The 21,650-nt window shown below is 45.9% G+C and overlaps 1 protein-coding gene and 1 long non-coding RNA gene across 3 annotated transcripts, besides 1 other annotated feature; one reads left to right on the plus strand and one right to left on the minus strand.

Moving 5' to 3' along the window:
- Positions 97–5,171, plus strand: LOC105378287 (uncharacterized). Its single transcript, XR_945923.4, has 3 exons — positions 97–189; positions 1,911–2,106; positions 4,715–5,171. It is a non-coding gene; the product is annotated as an uncharacterized LOC105378287 (long non-coding RNA).
- On the minus strand, positions 2,635–15,591 carry MSMB (microseminoprotein beta). Of its 2 annotated transcripts, NM_002443.4 has the most exons (4): positions 15,557–15,591; positions 9,308–9,413; positions 8,288–8,393; positions 2,635–2,873 (listed from the first exon to the last, which is right to left on the minus strand). In NM_002443.4, exons 1-4 carry the CDS (start codon positions 15,557–15,559, stop codon positions 2,744–2,746), a joined length of 345 nt encoding a protein of 114 aa, NP_002434.1. In that variant the 5' UTR covers positions 15,560–15,591; the 3' UTR covers positions 2,635–2,743. The 2 variants fall into 2 exon arrangements, with proteins under 2 accessions (NP_002434.1, NP_619540.1); NM_138634.3 differs by lacking the exon at positions 8,288–8,393.
- Positions 13,540–14,041: an enhancer, noted in NCBI's record as "H3K27ac hESC enhancer chr10:51551103-51551604 (GRCh37/hg19 assembly coordinates)". NCBI's record gives its function as "activates a minimal SCP1, AML or CMV promoter by ChIP-STARR-seq in primed H9 embryonic stem cells {active_cell/tissue: H9 hESC(primed)}" and the evidence as "EXISTENCE:reporter gene assay evidence [ECO:0000049][PMID:30033119]".

Below are 21,650 nucleotides of genomic sequence, written 5' to 3' on the forward strand. Positions count from 1 at the left end.
CCGCTCGGGTCAGCCAGAAGCCCTTGACTGCCCTCTAGGAGGCGCAGAGCGCAGGCGCACACTCCCTCCCCGCCCTTGCAGTGTCCTTTAGTCCTTCGTGAATAAATCGAAATTAAATGAAGCAAATGCTTTTTTGAAGGCAAATTTGGTGCCAAGGACCATCCTAAGTGATTCAGATGGCCTCACAAGGTAGATATTATTTAGTTTGAACATTCAGATGCAAAAATGAATATCGTAAGACACAAAAGGCCATATGTTGTATGATTCCACCTTTGCCACATTTGTTTTTCTAAGGATTGAGTTAATAGGCCGGGAGCAGTGGCTCACGCCTGTAATCCCAGCACGTTGGGGGCCGAGGCGGGCGAATCACGAGGTCGGAAGATGGAGAGCATCCTGGCTAACACGGTGAAACTCCTTCTCTACTAAAAATACAAAAAAATTAGCCAGGCGTGGTGGCTCGCGCGTATAGCCTCAGCTATTCGGGAGGCTGAGGCAGAACTGCCTGAACCTGGGAGGCAGAGGTTGCAGTGAGCCGAGATCGCTCCACTGCACTCCAGCCCGGGCGACAGAGCAAGACTCCGTCTCAAAAAAAAAAAAAAAAAAAATTGAGTAAATAAATAAATGGCAGAACCCAGATTCTTTTTTTCTTTTCTTTTTTCTTTGAGACAGGGTCTGACTCTGTCGCTCAGGCGCAGTGGCGCAATCTCGGCTTGCTGTAACCTCTGCCTCCTGTGTTCAAGCGATTCTCCTGCCTCAACCTGCTGAGTAGCTGGGATTACAGACATGCGCCATGATGCCCGGTTTTTAAATTTTTTTGTAGAGACAGGGTCTTGCTGTGTTACCCAGACTGGTCTCAAAGTCCTGGGCACAAGCGATCCTCCCACCTGATCTAGGATTACAAGCATGAGCCACCACGTCCAGCCTACAGCCCAGATTATAACCCACATTATTTACTTGTGACTAGATGTTAAATAGCACTTCTTTCTGTCTCAGTTTTGACAGAGGTCCTCCATACTCAGTTGCCAACTGCTTCCCCACATTCCGCAGCAAAGGAGGTGATCATAGCAGGGTTTTATGGATCTCATCCAAGAGTGACTCTGCTACAAGGGGCAAGGCAACCTCATTAGAAAACAATAGGAGACATAGATTACGATGCAGAAGCTAAGATAACAGTCATAGGCTGTGAGTGGAAGGGGAGCTGTGGAGAGAGAAGCCCACAAAAGTCCCATGAGGAAGTCAGCCTAGAACATGACCTCAGGCAGAAGGAGCCCTTAACTCTCCTGTCCCCCATTCCCTCTCAATTCAGATGCAGCCCCTGGAATGAGACTTTGTGTAACTCAAAATGTAACTCAGACCACTTTTTTAAATTATCTGAAGGTGAACAAGAAAGCTAAGGGACCTGTCTAGATTGCTCAACTGGCCCACATAGCATGTTTAAACAGATAGGGGACAGGGGAAAATAAAGCTCTTTATCAGTTGCCCACTGATTGTTCAACAGATGACTGTTTGCTCATTTCTGATCTGTCACGTACACACAGCTGAGTCCAAGCCCCAGGAGAACAGGGTTCTCTCCTGAAATCTCTCTGGTTCACTGCTGTATCCCCAGGTCTAGAGCACTGCCTGGCCCAGGTGCTCAGTACAGACCTGTTGAGTGAACAGATGTTCTTTAACACAGAAACAGTTAAAAGAGAATCAATGTTGTCGTTGTCTTAAGCCACTAAGTTTTCGGTGGTCTGTGTGTAGCAAGAGGTAGCTGATGCTGGGGCCTTGCACCCAGGCCACTCTCCATCTGCAAGGCAGAGCCCCTGGCCTTTAATTCCCCTCGGGCTGCATGTGGTCTTGGGGGCACTTTCTTCAGGCTTGTTCTAAGCTGTTTTACAGGCTTGTTCTAAGCTGTTTCTTGTTCTAAGCTGCTTTGACCTCAAGCAAACACAGAGGAATGTGGGGGACACATCATAGAAGACACTTCCTGATGAAGAGGAAGGAGGGATAAACAGGAACACCGTAAAGAAAAGAAGGGATCTAATTCCAGCTTGAAGACACACATTTTTTTCATCGTTCACCAGACAGCAGGACACGGGCAGCAGAGTGCAGACATCAGAAACAGTAAGAGTGGCAGTGGTCCCCTGAGTAAGGGATGCACAATGACCTATTATAGAGTTTAGGAAAAATAGAACTTTTATTCATATGTATTTTGTTTTGTTTTGTTTTGTTTGGGTTTGGGTTTGTTTGTTTGTTTGCTTGTTTTTTGAGACGGAGTCTCACTCTGTCACCCAGGCTGGAGTGCACTGATGTGATCTTGGCTCACTGCAACCTCCGCCTCCCGGGTTCAAGTGATTCTCCTGCCTCAGCCTCCCGAGTAGCTGGGACTACAGGTGCCTGCCACCACGCTAATTTTGTATTTCAGTGGAGACGGGGTTTCACTATGTTGGCCAGGCTGTTCTCGATCCCCTGACCTCAAATGATCCGCCTGCCTTGGCCTCCCAAAGTGCTGGGATTATAGGCATGAGCCACTGTGCCCGGCCATTCATATGTAGTTTTGTCTCCCTTTTTAAATGTTTTGTATTCTTTATAATGTGTATTAAATCAATGCATACATAAATTATAAATTAAAAGGACACACATATTCAAGTGTTTGCTCAAAAATCTTTTTACTGATAGGCATGGCTACACAATCATTGACTATTAGAGGCCAGAGGAGAATGAGGCCTGGCCTGGGAGCCCTGTGCCTACTAGAAGCACATTAGATTATCCATTCACTGACAGAACAGGTCTTTTTTGGGTCCTTCTTCTCCACCACGATATACTTGCAGTCCTCCTTCTTGAAGATTCTTTGGCAGTTGTCTTTGTCATAACCCACAGGTGTAGAAACACTGTCATTGAGACAAAACTGGGGCCTGTTAGAAGAGAAAGGACCCCGAGCACCCCCTCCCCAGTGCCAGCTCTGTTCAGGAAGTCACCCACACTCCAACTTAAGGGCACCCTTTGGCTGGCAGCCCCAGAGTGTGACCTCCAGGAACCTGGACCAGTCTGTACCATAGAGTCACACAGCTCACCCCTACATTCCATCCTGCAGGCACAGAAGGTCATCAGTAGGTGCTGACAGGCCCAGGGGCAAGTCTGGCTACTCTAGAAAGTGGCAGCTTGTTCCATGCTGGCTCCTCCCACCCTCCCTGTTCAGGAAGTGGCCAGCATATTGTTGCTAGAATGTGGAAAGGAAACAAATCCCAGCCCTGACTTGGAGGCCTGTTGGCAAAGGAGCTCTCTCAACCAACCAGAGCAATGAGTCACTCCAGGCCAGTGTCATGGAGCCCAGGGAGAAGCTGATGAAAGTCAGAGACCACCTCTAATTGAGCTGCAGTACATACAAATATTTTGAAGAGTTCTGATGAGATGAGATGATACTAATGCTAGAATATTTATGTATTATTACTATTATTACTTTAATTTTTTGAGATGAATTTCACTCTGTCACCCAGGATGGAGTGCAGTGGCACGATCTCAGCTCACTTCAGCCTCCGTCTCCCAGGTTTAAGCGATTCTCCTGCCTCAGCCTCTTGAGTAGCTGGGATTACAGGAGCACACCACTACACCCAGCTAATTTTTATATTTTTAGTAGAGATGGCGGGTCGGCGCGGGGGAGGTCTCACCATGTTGGCCAGGCAGGTCTCGAACTCCTGACCTCAAATGATCCACCCACCTTGTCCTCCCAAAGTGCTGGGATTACAGGCGTGAGACACCATGCCCAGCCCAGTGCTAGAATATTAAGTGGAAAAATCAGCCCACAAAACTGTGATATAAAATTTGATATCCACTATGTAAAAGAAAAAACATATAGAAAAGAGACATAAAGAAATGATGATAGGGCCGGGCGCTGTGTCTCACGCCTGTAATCCCAGCACCTTGGGAGGCCGAGGCGGGCGGATCACGAGGTCAGGAGATCGAGACCATCCTGGCTAAACCGGTGAAACCCCGTCTCCACTAAAAATACAAAAAATTAGCCGGGCGTGGTTGCAGGCGCCTGTAGTCCCAGCTACTCAGGAGGCTGAGACAGGAGAATGGCGTGAACCCAGGAGGCGGAGCTTGCAGTGAGCAGAGATCACACCACTGCACTCCATCCTGGGCGACAGAGCAAGATTCCATCTCAAAAAAAAAAAAAAGAAAATAAATGATGATAGAAGCCCAGGCATGGTGGCACATGCCTGTAATCCCAGCTACTTGGGGCTGAGGTGAGACAACAGCTTGATCCCAGGAGTTTGAGACCAGCTTGGGCAACATAGTGAGACCCTGTCTTAATTTTTTTAATACAAATAAATAAATAAATAAAAATAGAATGTTAATAGTTATTACCTTTACACAGTTGGGATTATGAGTAGGTATTTCTTCTTTTTTCTCTTATGCTTCCCAATGATTCTATAATTCATATGTTTACTTAGAAAATTGGGAAATATCATTTAAAACCTTTCATGTTTTTCATGTTTAAAGGTGATTGCTGGCTGGTAGGAATGTAAAATGGTGCAGCTGCTGTGGAAAACAGCTTGGCAGCTCCTCAATAAGTTAAACAAAAAATTACCATATGACCCAGAAAGCTACTCCTGGGTATATATCCCAAAAGAATTGAAAGCAGGGACTCAAACATTATATGCCAATGTTTGTATATTGACAAACACTGTATGCCAATGTTCAGAACAACATTACTTACTTTATCCAACAGGCAGAAGCAACTCAAGTGTTCAACAAATAAATGGATAAGCAAAATGTGGTATGACCATGCCATGGAATATTATTCTGGCAGAAACAAGAATGAAGTACTGATACATGCTACAACATGAATGAACCTTGACAACATGCTGAGTGAAATAAGCCAGACACGAAAAGACAAACACAGTGTGATTGTATTTATGTGAAATATCTAGAGTAGGCAAATTCATAGAGACAGAAAGTAGACTTGAGATTACCACAGGTTTGGGGGACAGGGAATCTGAGTTATTGTTTAATGGATATAGAGTTTCAGATTGGAGTCATTAAAAAGATTTGGAAATAGTGTTTATGGTTGCATAGTACTGTGAATGTACTTAATGCCGCTGAATTGTATGTTTTAAAATGGTTACACTGGCACATTTTATGTAGTATACATTTTACCACAATAAAAAAAAAAGGTTAAAAATAAAGTGGTGTTTGTTGAAGAGATACAATTCTTTTAGTTCATGGTAGGAAGTGAAATGGTGAATCTGTGCTGCCTGTGTGCAAATACAAGTTGGTAAGGCAAAAGGCATATTACTGCATGCTTATTTCAATGCAAACCAGACTTAGCTCTATAGAGGAAACAGCAGAGAGAGAGAGGGAGGGAGAAACTGTCAACATCGGGTATTCAGCTAACCAGAGTCAGTGGCTGGATGACCTTGGCCTTTTGTCTCCCACTCCCTTTTCCTCACCCAAGTCAGGGAGCCAGCCCTGGGCCCGGGCAGCGTGGAGCCCAGGACATCTCCCATGCCCTACCTGGGAGCCTCTGCCTGGGCCCCCAGCCTCAGGCTCCACTGCCACCGAGCACCTTGAGATCTGGGCAGCGTCCCATAGAGGGTGCAGTGGGTCCAAAAACTTCTTCCAGAAAAAGCTTAATCAAAGTCTGTATTTTTCCATGGAGGAGAAAAAAGTTCATGAGAAAAACAAAGGAGGTGAGGCAATTCCAGGGAAGAAGGTGTTGATTCATTTCCCCTGCATGGAGCAGTGTGCCAAATGGAACAGGCAACATGGCAGTAGAAACCTTGAAACCTTGAAACCTGACCAGGTGTCAGTTACTGTCCCAGGATCACAGGACACAGAATTGGCACAGAGAAGGCATTAAGTGTTTGTTGGGTTAAAGAATATATACACAGAATCTCATTTAATTATCATAGCCACATAATTATAATGTGAGGAAACAGAGGCTCAGAGACATTCAGAAACTGACTCAGGGTCACACAGCTAGTATACAAGGGAATGGAGATTCAGACTCAAGTTACTCTGACTCCAACAGTGAGGTTCTTCCCTCTTCACTGCAAGGAGCAGCCTGGCTCGTTTCCACACCAGGACCACGAGAATCCCAGCCTACAGTGGAGAATCTTAGAAGAGGGCAGGGATGCCAAATCTGGGTGACATGGACATTTTAGCCACCAGGGAGCCACGCTCCTATGTGAGGGAGGGACCAGTCACCAGTCCTTCACCTGGCTGGGATACAATCACACTCCACCAGAGTGACATCAACACTTGATATAAAGACAATGTCAAATTTCTGGAGCCACAAAATCAAGGTTCAGCTGTAATACCCAGTGATCTGGCCAATGCGATGCCCAGGAGCCTGCTCTGAGCAGCCAGCCATCTCCCAGTCCAATATTCCTCTGTTCCATTAGGCACCTAGCATGAGGCCTGCTCGATAAATGTGGCTGGAACTCTCCAGGCACTTCAAGTTCAGTAGGACTCAGGTGTTCTGCTCTAAGTCAAGTGCTTGCTTCTTTACTCGCAGTGTCCTCATAAGACTCTCGAGGCACCTGTTAAAATTCAGATTCCTTGGCCCCTCCCCTACAGATTCTGATCAATCAGTTCTGGGATGGAGCCCAGGAATCTGTATTTCATCAAGCTTCCCAGGTGAGTCTGTGATCAGACAAGTTTGCGAAATGCCCCTTGACACCAATGCTCTGCCATCAGATCCATTCCTGTTCCTGCAGAACACTACAAGCCAAGGCTACATGAAGAGGTTAGATGGATTTGGGGGGTTGGGAGTTAGGTAGCTGTTATGGACATAGCTGCTGAGGAAACAGGTAAATTAGGACGGCACTGCGGGTACTCTGTGTTCCGCCTGCTCAAGTTCTAGACTTCTGGTGTCCATAGCAACCCAGCAGAAAACATCTGCATAGCCTTTGGGCTGACGTGAGTTAAACTTGAGCAGTGAAGCAGCATAAGTTTTATGGTGCAAGGCACACTACAGATCCTCCCTTACCCCTCACATCTGATCCCTCTGCCTATGCTCAGAGCCACTGCTATTTCTACAAATCTACAAGGCCCAGACTGAGGTGATGACCGGGCCAATCTCTGGAATAGTGTCAGACAATTAGATACTCTTTCCTGTCTTCAGGAGCCCATCTGGAATAAAGCTACTTATCAAGTTTCAAAAACAACAGAAAAGAAATGAGATTGAGGTGGAAAACAACCCAAGTGTTCATCAACAGATGAATGGAGATGCAAAATGTGGTCTCTCCATATTACAGAACATGATTCAGCCTCGAACAAGAAGGCAATGTTGATGCAAGCGTCAACACAGATGAACCATGAGGATATTATGCTAAGTGAAATGAGCCAGTCTCAAAAAAGCAATTACTGTATGATTCCACTTATATGAGGGACCTAGAGTAGTCAAAATCATAGAGACAGAAGTGAAATGGTGGTTGCCAGGGGCTGGGGAGAAGGGGATGGAGAGTGACTGCTTAATGGGTATAGAGCTTCAGTTTTGCAGGATGAACAAGTTCTGGAGGTGGATGGTAGTGATGCCACAACAATGTGAATGGACCTAATGCCACTAAAGTATACATTTAAAATTGTTAACATGGTACATTTTACGTTACGTATATTTTACCGCAATTTTTTTTTTTTTTAGACACAGTCTCGCTCTGTCGCCCAGGCTGGAGTGCAGTGGTGCGATCTCGGCTCACTGCAAGCTCTGCCTCCCGGGTTCACGCCATTCTCCTGCCTCAGCCTCCCAAGTAGCTGGGACTACAGGCACCCGCCACCAAGCCCGGCTAATTTTTTTGGTATTTTTAGTAGAGACGGGGTTTCACGTGTTAGCTAGGAGGGTCTCGATCTCCTGACCTCGTGATCCGCCCGCTTCGGCCCCCCAAAATGCTGGGATTACAGGCGTGAGCCATTGTGACTGGCCCACAATTTTTTAAAAAGAAAGAAATAGGACTGAAAACTAACCCCCCAATACCACAACACCAAGAGGAAGCCCTAACATAAACTATGGACTCAGGTGATAATGATGTGCAAGGTAGGTTCATCAGTCATAACAAATACACCACTGTGGTGGACGATGTTGATAACGGGGAGGTCGTGCATGTGTGAGGGCAGGAGGCACATGGGAAATTTCTGTACCTCTGCTCAGTTTTGCTGTGAATCTAAAACTACTCTATATAAAGTCTATAAAAAACTAAAACAAAAACTAAACCCCTGAAGATTGGAATTTTGCAAGACGGAGTAGCTGTTCCTCAGAGAACAGCTATGTCCCCCTCTTGGCCAGCACTGGCTTGAGACTTACAGGGTGCAACATGAAATTTCTGTTTCGTAGCAAGTGCATGTCTCACAGTTGTCAGTCTGCCACTCCGAGTTTATTGGGTGTTTGTTTCCTTTGAGATCCATGCATTCTAAAATAATACACACAACATCATCAGTGCAAGTCATGCAATGAGAACAAGGCCTATCAGGACATTGAGTCCTGCCCCTACTATCTACACCCCTCCCAGAGAGAGAGGAGCTCAATTATTTTAAAGGTATCTAAGAATGGTGCTCCTGTATTCACCCACGGCTAATTCCAGTACTGTTCAGTTCATGCTACTGATAATGTTTTCTTACAGAAAGCTTATATCCTTCTAAGTTTTATTTCAGAACAGATATTTCAAGAAAAAATAAGGCCCTTTTATTGAATTAGATAGCCATGTGAGCCTGTGGGTACTTGGGACCACATTTTTTCCTACTGGATTATCTCTGGATGAGAATCTCACTTCTACACTTCCCTTTGCTTTGCATCGGTGGTTTTCAACCCTGGGTGCACATGTGAAACATCTTGGGTACTTGAAAGCCACCCATGTCTCAGCCTTACCCTAGAACAATGAAATCAGTATCTCTGGGTACAGGGCCCAGGCTACTGTGTTCTTAGAAGGCTGCCCAAGTGAGGCCAGGCACAGTGGCTCACACCTGTAATCCCAACACTTTGGGAGGCTGTGGCGGGCAGATGACCTGAGGTCAGGAGTTCGAGACCAGCCTGGCCAACGTGGCAAAGCCCCATCTTTACCAAAAATACAAAAATTAGCCAGGCATGATGGCACACACCTGTAGTCCCAGCTACTTGGGAGGCTGAGGAGGTAGAATCACTGGAACCCGGGAGGAGGAGTTTGCAGTGAGCTGAAATGGTGCCACTGCACTCCAGCCTGGGAGACAGAGCATGACTATCTCAAAAAACAAAGAAACAAACAAACAGAAACACAAAGGCTTTCATCTGCAGACAGGTCCATCTACCAGGCTGCAATAACATAATAAACATTGAAAAGCCAAGACTTACTCCTGGTTGAATCTCCTGGAACTCCCTCATTAGGTATGAAATAGCATGATGCATTGCATAAAGTCACGAAGGTGGCAAAGATCACAACGCTGCCCAGGAGAACATTCTGTAATGTGAAGAAAGGTCAGGGTGGAGAATGAATTAATTCAAAGGATAATCCTTGACTGAGTGCTGTGTACCAGGATCTCGGCTGGGCTCTGCTGAGAGGTTATGATGTGGAGCTCATAACTGAACAAACCAGTTAATCTAGGCTGAAATTGTAGAACAAGGAAAAGTATCTAGTTGACTTTGTCATCTTTTTGAGATGAGCTAAATAAACAAACAAACCTTAACATGGTAATTTCTGGGAACTTTTGAAAGGGAAGATGGTGTTAAAAAAAATGTTGAGGAGGCCATTTGTTTGGACTGAGCTGCACTGGGCCCAACAGACCAAACCAAAATGCAGTCGCCCATGCTGAAGTTCTCTGCCACTAAGCCAAAACTAAGTTGCTTAACCAACCTTCTAAGAAATTAGAAGAGAGTGAGAGGTAATAGCCAAATGCCCAACAGGCCAGTTTTAGCTGACATGATGAGAAAGTCCCCTCTGCTTTAACTTATAAGCAAAGTCACTTCGAAAAGACCAATTTGCTTTTTGTTCTCTGTTTCTGCTTTTTCTGGCTCTTTTCTGTCTATAAAGCCAAACTTCTCTGCCAGGCACGGTGGCTCACGCCTGTGATCCCAGCACTCTGGGAGGCCAAGGCGGGTGGATCATGAGGTCAGGAGATCGAGACCATCCTGGCTAACACGGTGAAACCCCGTCTCTACTAAAAATACAAAAAATTAGCCGGGTGTGGTGGTGGGTGCCTGTAGTCCCAGCTACTCGGGAGTCTGAGGCAGGAGAATGGCACGAACCCAGGAGGCGGACCTTGCAGTGAGCCGAGATCTGGCCACTGCACTCCAGCCTGGGTGACAGAGCGAGACTCCGTCTCAAAAAAAAAAAAAGCCAAACTTCTCTGGTCAGCTCTGCAGAACACTCGATCTATTTTATGGAATGAAGTGTTCCCTGATTATAGACTCACAAGTAAAAGTTAATTGAGGGCCAGGCGTGGTGGCTCATGCCTGTAATCCTAGCACTTTGGGAGGCGGAGGTGGGTGGATTGCCTGAACTCAGGCAATTGAAACCACCCTGGGCAACATGATGAAACCCATTCTCTACTAAAATACCAAAAAATTAGCTGGGCGTGGCGGCACACGCCAGTAATCCCAGGTACTCGGGAGGCTGAGGTGGGAGAATCACTTGAGCCTGGGAGGCGGAGGTTGCAGTGAGCCAAGATTGTGCCACCGCACTCTAGCCTGGGCAAGAGAGTGAGACTCCGTCTCAAAAAAAAAAAAAAAAAAAAAATCAATTAAGATCTTTAAACTAAATTTGTTGTAATTTTGTCTTTTGACAATGGGAATGAAGGCATTTATTCTGTAAGATTGCTAAAATTAATTATGAAGTGACGCTACTTGAAGTAGTATGTTACTCATATATGAATAGAAAGATAGGGAGGGCACAGTGTCTCAATTCTGTAATCTCAGCAATTTGGGAAGCTGAGGCAGGCACATCGCTTGAGCTCAGGAGTTCAAGACCAGCCTAGGCAACATGGTGAAAACCCATCTCTACAAAAAGTACAAAAGTTAGGTGGGTATGGTGGTGTGTCCCTGTAGTCTCTGCTACTTGGGAGGCTGAGGTGGAGAATCACTTGAGCCCAGGAAGGTTGAGGCTGCAGTGAGCCATGATAGCACCACTGCACTCCAGCCTGGGCAACAGAGTGAAACCCTGTCTTTAAAAAAAAAAAGGCAAACACAGAGATCAAAATAGAAAACCCAGAAAATTCCAAAGGTAGTTGGATAGGGTAAAAAAGAAAAAAACAAAACCCAGAAAGTATAAATATATGTAGAAGTTTATTATAAAATAAACATGTTCTTTGAGATCTGTGGAGAGCGATTATTCAATAAATGCTATTAGAACAAGTGGTGAACTATTTGGGGAAGAAAAAAAGTTAATTTCCTATTTGAGTCCCCATTAGTGAAATAAATTCTAAAAGGATTCAAGGTTTAAGTTTTTACAATAAGATCATAAAATAATCACAGCATATATACATAAATACTTATTCTAAGCATAAAAGAAAAATAGATTTGAGAATATAAACGTCATAAGAACATAACTGAAATTAGAAAGATATCAAATTTTCAGAACAATATCATTACATACCAATGGGAGAAGAAAAACATCTTAAACAGAAAAAGGGCAAGAGAAATAAAGTGGCATTTCACACACAGACACACACACACAGAAATGATGAATAAACACATGAAAAAGTTCAACTTACTGATAACAAAAGAAATGTAAATATGTAGCATGAAATAGAAGCATAATGGGATGGTGAGAATAATCATTTAATTTATAATACCCAGAGGGAAATAGAGGTATCTATGGGAGGTGATATGCACAAGAATGACTTACTTTGAACAATCGTTAAGGAGAACAATTTGCTACTATATATCCACATTCTTAAAACCGTTTACAACATTTGATTTCACCTTTTCATCTCCAAGATGTGATCCTAAAAATGGCACAGAGACAGAGACAGAGACAGACTCCTCCACAACGATGCTCACTGCAGTGGAAAAATGGAAAGAAACAAAATGCCCAAGAACAGAGCCAGTGGAGAACAGTGACTCAGAAAAACACCTGGTGAGCCAGCAAGGTAGAAGGTGAAGTCACATGAGCAATTGATCACCACATGTCACGACATGAAATGAAGCAGGCTATGAAATACATGATGCGGAGAGAGATGCTCAGAACACACTGAGGGTTTTGTACCAAATAACAAGTCATCTTTGGATGGGGAGATTATGACAATTTTCTTCTTTGGACTTTTCCTCTTATTTTCTAAATTTTCTACAATAAAATATATGAGTTTTATAGCCACAAAGAAAGAAAGATTCTTTAAAAATGACACAACGCCTTGATACATTCAGCTCAAGCCAGGACTTGGAGTGGCACTTGTTCTGTTTCATTCTTCTGAGTAGCCTTCAGCTCGAAATCATTGTGGAAACCTAAACTTTTCCCCCCAAAAAGCCAGCCTTGTTGACAGCATTTTTACTCCCTTCATGCAGAAAGAGGGCTCCTGGGGTACTGGGGATCACTGGAATCTTGGGGATCTGGTTTCACTGAGTCACAAAGCAGGAGAGTCAACAGGGACAAGCAGGGCTGCATCCCAGGACAAGTGACATGTGCAAAATCCCCAAGTCTCCTGCAGCTCTAGAGCAGAGGCAGGAGATTGAACCACTGGGGGAGAGCCCAAACATGGTGACAGCAGAGAGCAAATTATTTAATTTTGAGATTATCCACTTGACAGTATCTCAGAAATAGCCTAATGCTGTCTCTCTCTCTCTCTCCCTCCCTCCCTCCCTCCCTTTCTGTCTCTCTCTCTCTCTCTCTCTGAAACTCAGTTTTCCTTCCCTGTAAAAAGAGGGGTTCTCCCATTTGGGTGACCATTAGAGTTATCCAGGGAGCTCATAGGAAACACAATCTAGGAGCCAGTGCCTCAGTGTCTTTACCTAGTCTCCCAGGTGAGAACCCAGGAACAATGACCAACCCAGTGCTGCTTTAATGTGCATATAAATTCCTGGGAGTTTTTTTTGTTTTGTTTTGTTTGTCTGTTTGTTTGTTTCTTTTTGGGACGGAATCTCGTTCTATCGCCTAGAGTAGAGTTCAGTGATGCAATCTTGGCTCACTGCAACCTCCGCCTCCCGGGTTCAAGTGATTCTCCTGCCTCAGCCTCCTGAGTAGCTGGGATTACAGGAGTGCACCACCACACCTGGCTAATTTTTGTATTTGTAGTAGAGACGTAGTTTCATCATGTTGGCCAGGCTGGTCTCAAATACCTGACCTCAAATGATCCGCCCGCCTCGGCCTCCCAAAGTGCTGGGATTATGGGCGTGAGCCACCGCGCCCAACCAGACAGCCTGTTAATTAACCTGCAGATTCTGCTTCAGTAGGTCTTTAGACTTACACGGAAGCTCCCAGGTGATGCCCACGCTGCTGGTCTGAGGTCCACCCCTGAGTAGAGAGGCTCTAAAGCTTTTTTCATTCCTGTCTTCTATTCTGCCACCAGCCTTCCTTCCCTTTGTGTCTTCCTTTCCTGCATTTAGTAACCCTGAGCTCCTGATGTGTGCAGGAGATTACACCACGACGCCAGAATGGGCTAGGATTTTCTAGATGGTACAGCGAGCCTTGAGGTGAAGCAGGCTGGCAGTATCCTTAGAAGTTGTGTCTCTTGGCTGGGCGCGGTGGCTCACGCCTGTAATCCCAGCACTTTGGGAGGCCGAGGCGGGTGGATCATGAGGTCAGGAGATCGAGACCATCCTGGCTAACATGGTGAAACCCCGTCTCTACTAAAAATACAAAAAATTAGCTGGGCGTGGTGGCGGGCGCCTGTAGTCCCAGCTACTCAGGAGGCTGAGGCAGGAGAATGGCGTGAACCCGGGAGGTGGAGCTTGCAGTGAGCCGAGATTGCGCCACTGCACTCCAGCCTGGGCGACAGAGAGACTCCGTCTCAGAAAAAAAAAAAAAAAAAAAAAAAAAAAAGTTGTATCTCTTTAGGTAAATTACTGCTCCTGGAAGGGTTATCCCATGATCAAGAGTTGGGGGTCTGGCCAGGCATAATTTCTCACACCTGTAATCCCAGCACTTTGGGAAGCCAAGGTGGGAGGATCACTTGGGCCCAAGAGTTAGAGACCAGCCTGGGCAACATAGTAAAAACTCATCTCTACTACAAATAACAATAATAAAATAAATAAATAAATAAATAAAGAGTTGGGGGTCCTCAGGATCTTAGGCAGGCAGAGGTATTGCCAGCTCTGCAGCTTGCTAAGTTCACTGTGAGGCTGCATAGAGTATAGGCTGGAGGAGCCTGTCTAGTGGAGATGGGGAGGACCTCCCACCCCACTGTTGTTTTACCATCCCCAGTTCTGCCTCCGGACAGTTTCTGAGAGCAAGTTTGTCTTGCCGAGTGGCCCAGAGGAGGCCCGGGGTCCCCTCCTGAGGACCCTCTCCCACCTCCCTTGGCTCCTCCCACTTGGCTGGCTGTTTCTTGCCTCATCTCCCTTGCAGCCCCCAGAGCAGCCCAGTTCAGTCCCCAGCGTTAGTAAAGAATGTTTTAAGAAAGATCAAGTTTAAGACACAAGAAAAGCCTGCATGGGTTTTTATAAATTTTGAAGCAAAATTCTTTCTTGGCCAGGCACAGTGGTTCACACCAGTAATCCCACCACTTTGGGAGGCTGAGGTGGGCAGATTGCATGAGCCCAGGAGTTCAAGACCAGCCTGGGCAGCATAGCAAAATCCTATCTCTAAAACAAATACAAAAATTAGTCGGGCATGGTGGCACTCGCCTGTGGTCCCAGCTACTTGGGAAGCTGAGATGGGAGGATCACCTGAGCCCAGGAAGGTCCAGGCTGCAGTGAATCATGACTGCACCACTGCACTCCAGCCTGGGCAACAGAGTGAGATCCTGTCTCAAAAACAAACAAATAAACCAACAAACACAGCCCCAAACCCAAGATTTTTCCTTAACACATGATACAGTGAAAAGGGCCTAGGGAAATGGTTCCCAAACTTGAGTATTAAAATGACCTGGGCAGCTTTTTAAATTGATGCTCTGTTCTCACTGCAGCCCAATTAAATCAGAGTGTCGGGGTGGAAGATGGGTGTCAGTGTTCTTCAAAATTCCCCCGGAGTTTCCACTGCACAGCCAAGTTTGGGAGCCCCTGGCAGGGAGAGAGGAATGCCTGGGTTCCTATCTCAGCTCATTCACAGGCTTGCGGTGAGACCCCAGTGGCAGCTTCTTCCCCTCCCCAGGCTCAGTTCCCTCATCTCAAAAACGATGCAGTCATGTAGCTCTGAAATTATTTTTAATTTCAAATTACTCACATAGGACCCAAGAATTAGAGACACTTATGAAATCTAATTGAACCCCAGAATTACTGGAAGGAAAAACAACTTAGATCTTAGAGAACAGAACTAGTGCTAAACTCATTACAATTTTCGCAAGCTCTCAGACTCTCATACTCTGCACATTGAATTGCAGGTAATAACATAAGGTTCCTAACTAGGTCACATTTACCATTCAATGCTATGTGGTAGAAGCACACGCATATTAAAATAGGAATACATATTCTCTTTTGCTTTTCTAGCCTTTATATATAAAACCAGTTACCTACCATTGTGATAAGCAGGACTCCTTATAGACAGGTACATCCAGGCAAAGCTGCATCAAACTTTTATACTGGAGAGGGCAACCACGCATTCGACATCATTGGGAATGATAACAAGGTGAGAACACATTGAGTGTTTACAGAGGGTTGACTATCAAAAGGAAAGTATGGTTTCAGATGATTTATGAGTTATTAATCAATCACATCTCCACCCAAGTTATGTGTTTACCTTGTCCCCACCCCGATCTGCATTTGCTGCTGACCTAAAAGAGCAGAGGAGGAGAGAACTTCTCTTTGCTGAGCCTTCGCCCTATGCTGGTGGATTGCTAGCACGTGATGTGTCCTTATTCGATTTTATACACAAAGAAACAGCCTCAGCGATGCCAGTCACAACAGCCAGGTGGTAAAGGTGGGTTTCCTGAAGGCATAAGAATAGCCCACAGGTCAGCCCACCAGGCCCACCGGGCCTGGGTCTGTGGCCCAGATGACCCTGCCCTTAGGGTCTGACATGAGAACAGAAATGGGTCAAGCCATCCTGCAGGGCACAGGAGAGCAAGAACTACATACAGCTCGGGGTTCCCTGACAAGCTGAATTGCTGGACCTTTCTAGAGCCCTTCTTGAATCTGTAGTCTACTCCCTGCTGCATCAAGCAAGCCTTGTTTCTCTTTGTTCCACAGTGGTCTCCTCCCAAACAACCGCACCTGCCCTCATCATGGCTAGGATGGCCTTTGGGGAATGGCAACAAGCAGAACCTCCTAGGGTGCTGGAGGGACTTACTACTTTATCTGTTTGCTCTGCCACCACAACAAAACACTGCAACTGGGTGGCTTTGACTAAAGAAATTTATTTGCTCACAGTTCTGGAGACTAGAAATGTGAGGTCAAGCCATTGGGGAAGGCTTGTTTTCCTCTGAGCCCTCTCTCTTTGGTTTGCAGATGGCCATGCTCTTGCTGCCTCTTACATGGCATGCATCCCTGGCATCTCTCTCTGTGTCCAAATTTCCTCTTCTGATAAGGACACTAGCTGTATTGGATTAGGGTCCACTCTAACTATCTCATTTTACCTAAGCCACCTCTTTAAAGGCCGTGTCTCCATTACAGTCACATTCTGGGATATTGGGGGTTAGGGCTTAAACCAATGAATTTTTAGGGGATGCAATTGAGCTCATAAGACAATTTTATCCCAAAAAGTCCCCTCACTCCTCGCCACAGCTTGCTACAGTTCCTAAAATTTAACCTGAGATCCCTCTGCCCACAGATGAGAGTTCATGCTCCTAACCAGGGGATCCTTGAAGCTCATCTGAGCTGGCCACAGTGGCCCTTTCCAGCACCATCCTCTACCCTCCCTAAAATCAGCCTCACCACCCCTAACACAGCTTGAGGTCACTCTCCTGCTCCTTAGAAGAGCTGTAGTGCTGTCTGGCTGCCTCCTCACTCACCAACGGTGCCACACACTTCTGCCTTTACCTGCATAAGTTAAGTGTTCATCGACTCTAAGTTCCAGGAAATCGGGGCACATTCATCATGCACTGTAGCCCCTTGGATTCTTTTAAAACTCCAAGTTTGAAGAACTTCCCACAGTGTGAAGTGGGAAGTTCTGCCTTACATTGAGAGGAACTAGGATTTGCTGCCCTCACCTGCTTACCTCCAGGGTACAGGCACAAACCTCGGCTCCACAAACACTCTCCTCTCAAAAAGTCCTCTTCAGAGAGGGTCCAAGGACACTGGCATCATGCAGAATCTCCCTAGGAATGATGGTGTGGAGGGTTCTGGCTCTTAGGGCAAGGGTTTCTTGGAGTCCAGTGTGCAGTGTCAGTGCATGGGGGCTGTGACTGTGACTGGTAGCAAGGTGGTCTTGCTGGAGCCAAGCAGCAGTGTGGTTTCAGTGCTCTACCTGAACTTGTGCCAAGAAAGCCTGTGTCTCTGGCCGTTAGTAGAGGCTTGAATTCTCTAACAAATCTCTTTCCACCTCAAATGACCTAGAGTAAATTCTATTGTTTGCAGTTAAGAACTTTGTGACCCAGACAGTGACTGTGACCTATTCCTGTCTGTGTGCCTTCCAGTGACCAGCAGGGTGCCTGGTGCAAAGCAGCTGCCCAGAACAGGATTTCACCTGGGTTATCTCAGGTATTCCCAAGTAGAAAGTATCCTGGCAAGACCAACCCATATCACTGCTGAAATGAGCTCATCTACTGCTCCCCAGGGGTTGAGAAAGGGATGCTCAGAGCAGGTGTGGCCAGCTGCCCACAGGGAGGAAGGCAAATGAAATGAGCAGTGCTCTCCGGGTGTGTGACAGCCAGCTCTGTCCAAACCTGCCTGATCAGTTTTCAGTGTTGATCCTACCTCAACTGTCATCCTTATAGATGGAACCAACTTAATTTCTTTTAATTATTTATTTTTCTTTTTATTTATTTTAATTTTTTTTAAAGACATAGTCTTGCTCTGCTGCTCAGGCTGGAGTGCAGTGGCACCATTATAGCTCACTGTTACCTCCAATTCCTAGATTCAATTGATCCTCCCACCTAAGCCTCCCAAGTAGGTGGGACTACAGGAGCGTGCCACCACACCCAGCTAATTTTTAGATTTTTTTTGTAGAGACAGGGTCTTGCTATGCTGCCCAGCCTGGTCTTGAACTCCTGGGCTCAAGTGATGCTCCTGCCTCCTCCTCCCAAAGTGTTGGGATTACAGGCATAAGCCACCATGCCCAGGCTGATTATCATTTTAATGGCTACATTTTATTCCATGGAATGATATGGACCATCATTTATTTGGTCAGGTACCTCTTGTTGAACACTCAGGTTGTTTCTGACTTTTTTTTCTATAATTAGAAACACTGGGCTGGGCATGGTGGCTCACACCTGTAATCCCAGCACTTTGGGAGGCCGAGACGGGCGGATCACGAGGTCAGGAGATCGAGACCATCCTGGCTAACATGGTGAAACCCCGTCTCTACTAAAAATACAAAAAAATTAGCCGGGCGTCATGGCGGGCGCCTGTAGTCCCAGCTACTCGGAAGGCTGACGCAGGAGAATGGCGTGAACCCGGAAGGCGGAGCTTGCAGTGAGCGGAGATCGCGCCACTGCACTCCAGCCTGGGCGAGAGAGCGAGACTCTGTCTCAAAAAAAAAAAAAAGAAACGCTGTTGAAATCCAGGTCCTTCAGATAAAAATTTCCCACACTTATACTAATTTCTTTAAGATAAATTCATAGAGGCCGGGTGAGGTGGCTCGCACCTGTAATCCCAGCACTTTGGAAGGACGAGGTGGGTGGATCACGTGAGGTCACGAGTTCGAGACCAGCCTGACCAACATGGAGAAACCCCGTCTCTACTAAAAATACAAAATTAGCCGGGCGTGGTGGAGCATGCCTGTAATCCCAGCTACTCCGGAGGGTGAGGCAGGAGAATCACTTGAAACCGGGAGACGAAGGTTGCTGTGAGCTGAGATCACGCCATTGCACTCCAACCTGGGCAACAAGAGCGAAACTCCATCTCAAAAAAAAAAAAAATCACAAAGGTAGAATTTCTGGGTAAAAGAAAATTATAATTCTCTTAGATTATCACCTGTTACTATGATATGTGGGAAATGCTTTGTCTTAATTTATTTTTCTTTGCTAATTGGCAAGATTAGACCTTTTTTTTTTTTTTTTTTTTTTTTTTTGAGACGGAGTCTCGCTCTGTCTCCCAGGCTGCAGTGCAATGGTGCAATTTCAGCTCAGTACAAGCTCCACCTTCCAGGTTCACGCCCTTCTCCTGCCTCAGCCTCCCGAGTAGCTGGAACTACAGGCACCCTCCATCACACCCGGCTAATTTTTTGTATTTTTAATAGAGACGGGGTTTCACCATGTTAGTCAGGATGGTCTTGATCTCCTGACCTCGTGATCTGCCCCCCTCGGGCTTCCAAAGTGCTGGGATTACAGGCGTGAGCCACCGTGCACAGCCTAGACCTTTTTTTGTATATGTATTGACCAATTGTTTTTCTTCTTTTGTGAGTACCCTGTTCACTCATGTCCTTTAGCTATTTTTCTGTTTGGGTTATTTATATTTTTCTTCTGGATTAGTTAAGGCTTCTAATATTAAAGATATTAATCTTCAAGTGTCACACATGTTAAAATATTTCCCTGATTTTTTTCATGGTCAGCACACCCATTCTGGAGTTAGAACTAAGGAATGAGAAATTTTCCTCATTTATATTTTTACCTCTCAAATGATATGTTTTGACATGTAGAGATTTTAAACTTTAACTGACTACAGCCACACTATCCCCACCTGTGGGTCAGCACTACAAGCCCCAAAGAACACCTCAAGATCCATGGAGTCACACAGCCCTTGGGCTGATGCTGTGGCAGGAGCTGCCATTCATTTCCAGGGTTTTTTGTTTTGTTTTGTTTTTTGTTTTTTTCTGAGACAGAGTCTTGCTCTGTCGCCCAGGATGGAGTGCAGTGCTGCAATCTCAGCTCACTGCAACCTCCACCTCCCGGGCACAAGCGATTCTTGTGCTTCAGCCTTCCCAGTAGCTGGGGCTATAGGCATGCACCACCATGCCTGGCTAATTTTTGTATTTTTAGTAGAGACAGGGTTTCACCATTGCCCAGGTTGGTCTTGAACGCCTGACCTCAAGTGATCTGCCTGCCTTGGTCTCCCAAAGTGCTGGGATTACAAGCATGGGCCACCGTGCCCTGCCATCATTCCCAGTGTTAAAAGAACGTTAGACAAATTAAATTTAACAGAGTTTGATTGAGCAAAGAACCATTTGTGTGAATCAGGCAGCCCCCAGGCAAAAATAAGTTCAGAGAGACTCCTGCACTGCCTCATAGTCAAAGATTTATGGACAGAAAAAGGAAAGTGATGTACAGAAACTGGAAGTGAGGTACAGAAACAGACGGATTGGTGATGGCATGGTGCTTGGCTTATTTGAGTCCAGTTTCAACAGCTGGCCGCCTGTGAGTGGTTGAAGTCTGGCTGCTGTGATTAACTGAGACTCGGCTACTTGGTACGAGAGTAGGTGACAGCCTGTTTACACGTGCAGTTAGCTTACAGTTCACTATGTACAGAGAAACCATTAGGGTGAATTTAAAATATGTAAGGAGAAGGCTTTAGGCTAAACTTGATTTAACACCAGGATCGGTGGGGTCTCCCCTTACCAGTCTTCAAGCTGATGACTTATCTCTCATCCACTTCCTCTCCCATCGTGCTCTAGAGCCTTTCCAAACCATGATCTCTTCTCTTAAACCTCTCACCCAACTGCCTACTTCATACGCAGAACACAATCTTATTTCGTATCTCACAGAGACCAGAGGTGAAAACTGCACCCCCACCCCTACCCTGCACATTGCCCTCCACCGGCTCCTGTTCTTTCCACTTTCCCTCTGGGTCCCTTCCTCACCCCAAATACGCAATACGGATCCCATTCCCCTCCCCATCGGCCCCCATTCCTTCCCAGGGACCCCTCCATAAAAGCCAGCCTCCCCAAGACAAGCAGGCATGAAGGGACAGATGGAAAAGTGTTCAGTGTTCGAGGACTGCCCAATTCCCAGCCTGGCATAAGCCAGCCTCCCTGAGGGTCCACTTATACCCTGGCAATTTTACTTTGTAGAGCCCAATCTTTGTGATACCCTGTGGCAGGACCCGTTTTGGTATTCGTCAGGATTCTGTTCTGTTGGAAACCGAACTAAAATGAGCATGGGCAAAAAGAGACGTTTTCAGCTCAAGTGTTAAGTCCAGAGGTGGACCAGCTTCTGGACTGCGGGGCTTAGTCTAGGACAGACATTATGAGAGTTTTCACTCTGCAGAAACCAGAAAGACAGACTCTGCCCCCACCCATGGATTCATTTCTGCATAATCTCTTGCTTCAAAAATACAATAAGACAAATTCTCCATGCCAAAGGATGCAGTAGAGGGTCTTTTTACAGCAACAGAAATGCTGTAGGATGAACCCCCTATATGGAGTGAGGGTGACGGTGGGATAGAGATCCTGGATATCCAGGCAAAGAACTGGGTTGGAAAAGGAAGCCACTAATAGAATAGCGAGAAAGAACACTGTAAATGCTGTGAGCCACAGCTACTCTGGATACAGTGTCACAAGAGTGCACTGGAATGCATT

This window comes from Homo sapiens, chromosome 10 (assembly GCF_000001405.40).
Source record: "Homo sapiens chromosome 10, GRCh38.p14 Primary Assembly".
Lineage (NCBI taxonomy): Eukaryota > Metazoa > Chordata > Mammalia > Primates > Hominidae > Homo > Homo sapiens.

Excerpts from the sequence above, each read along its gene's own strand:
- MSMB (NM_002443.4), bottom strand. Across the intron at positions 8,394-9,307 it reads TCCAGGAGATTCAACCAGGA|AATGCATGGATCTCAAAGGA; the intron begins GTAAGTCTTGGC and ends GTATTATTTTAG. Across the intron at positions 2,874-8,287 it reads GAAATTTCATGTTGCACCCT|TGTTTCTACACCTGTGGGTT; the intron begins GTAAGTCTCAAG and ends TCTCAATGACAG.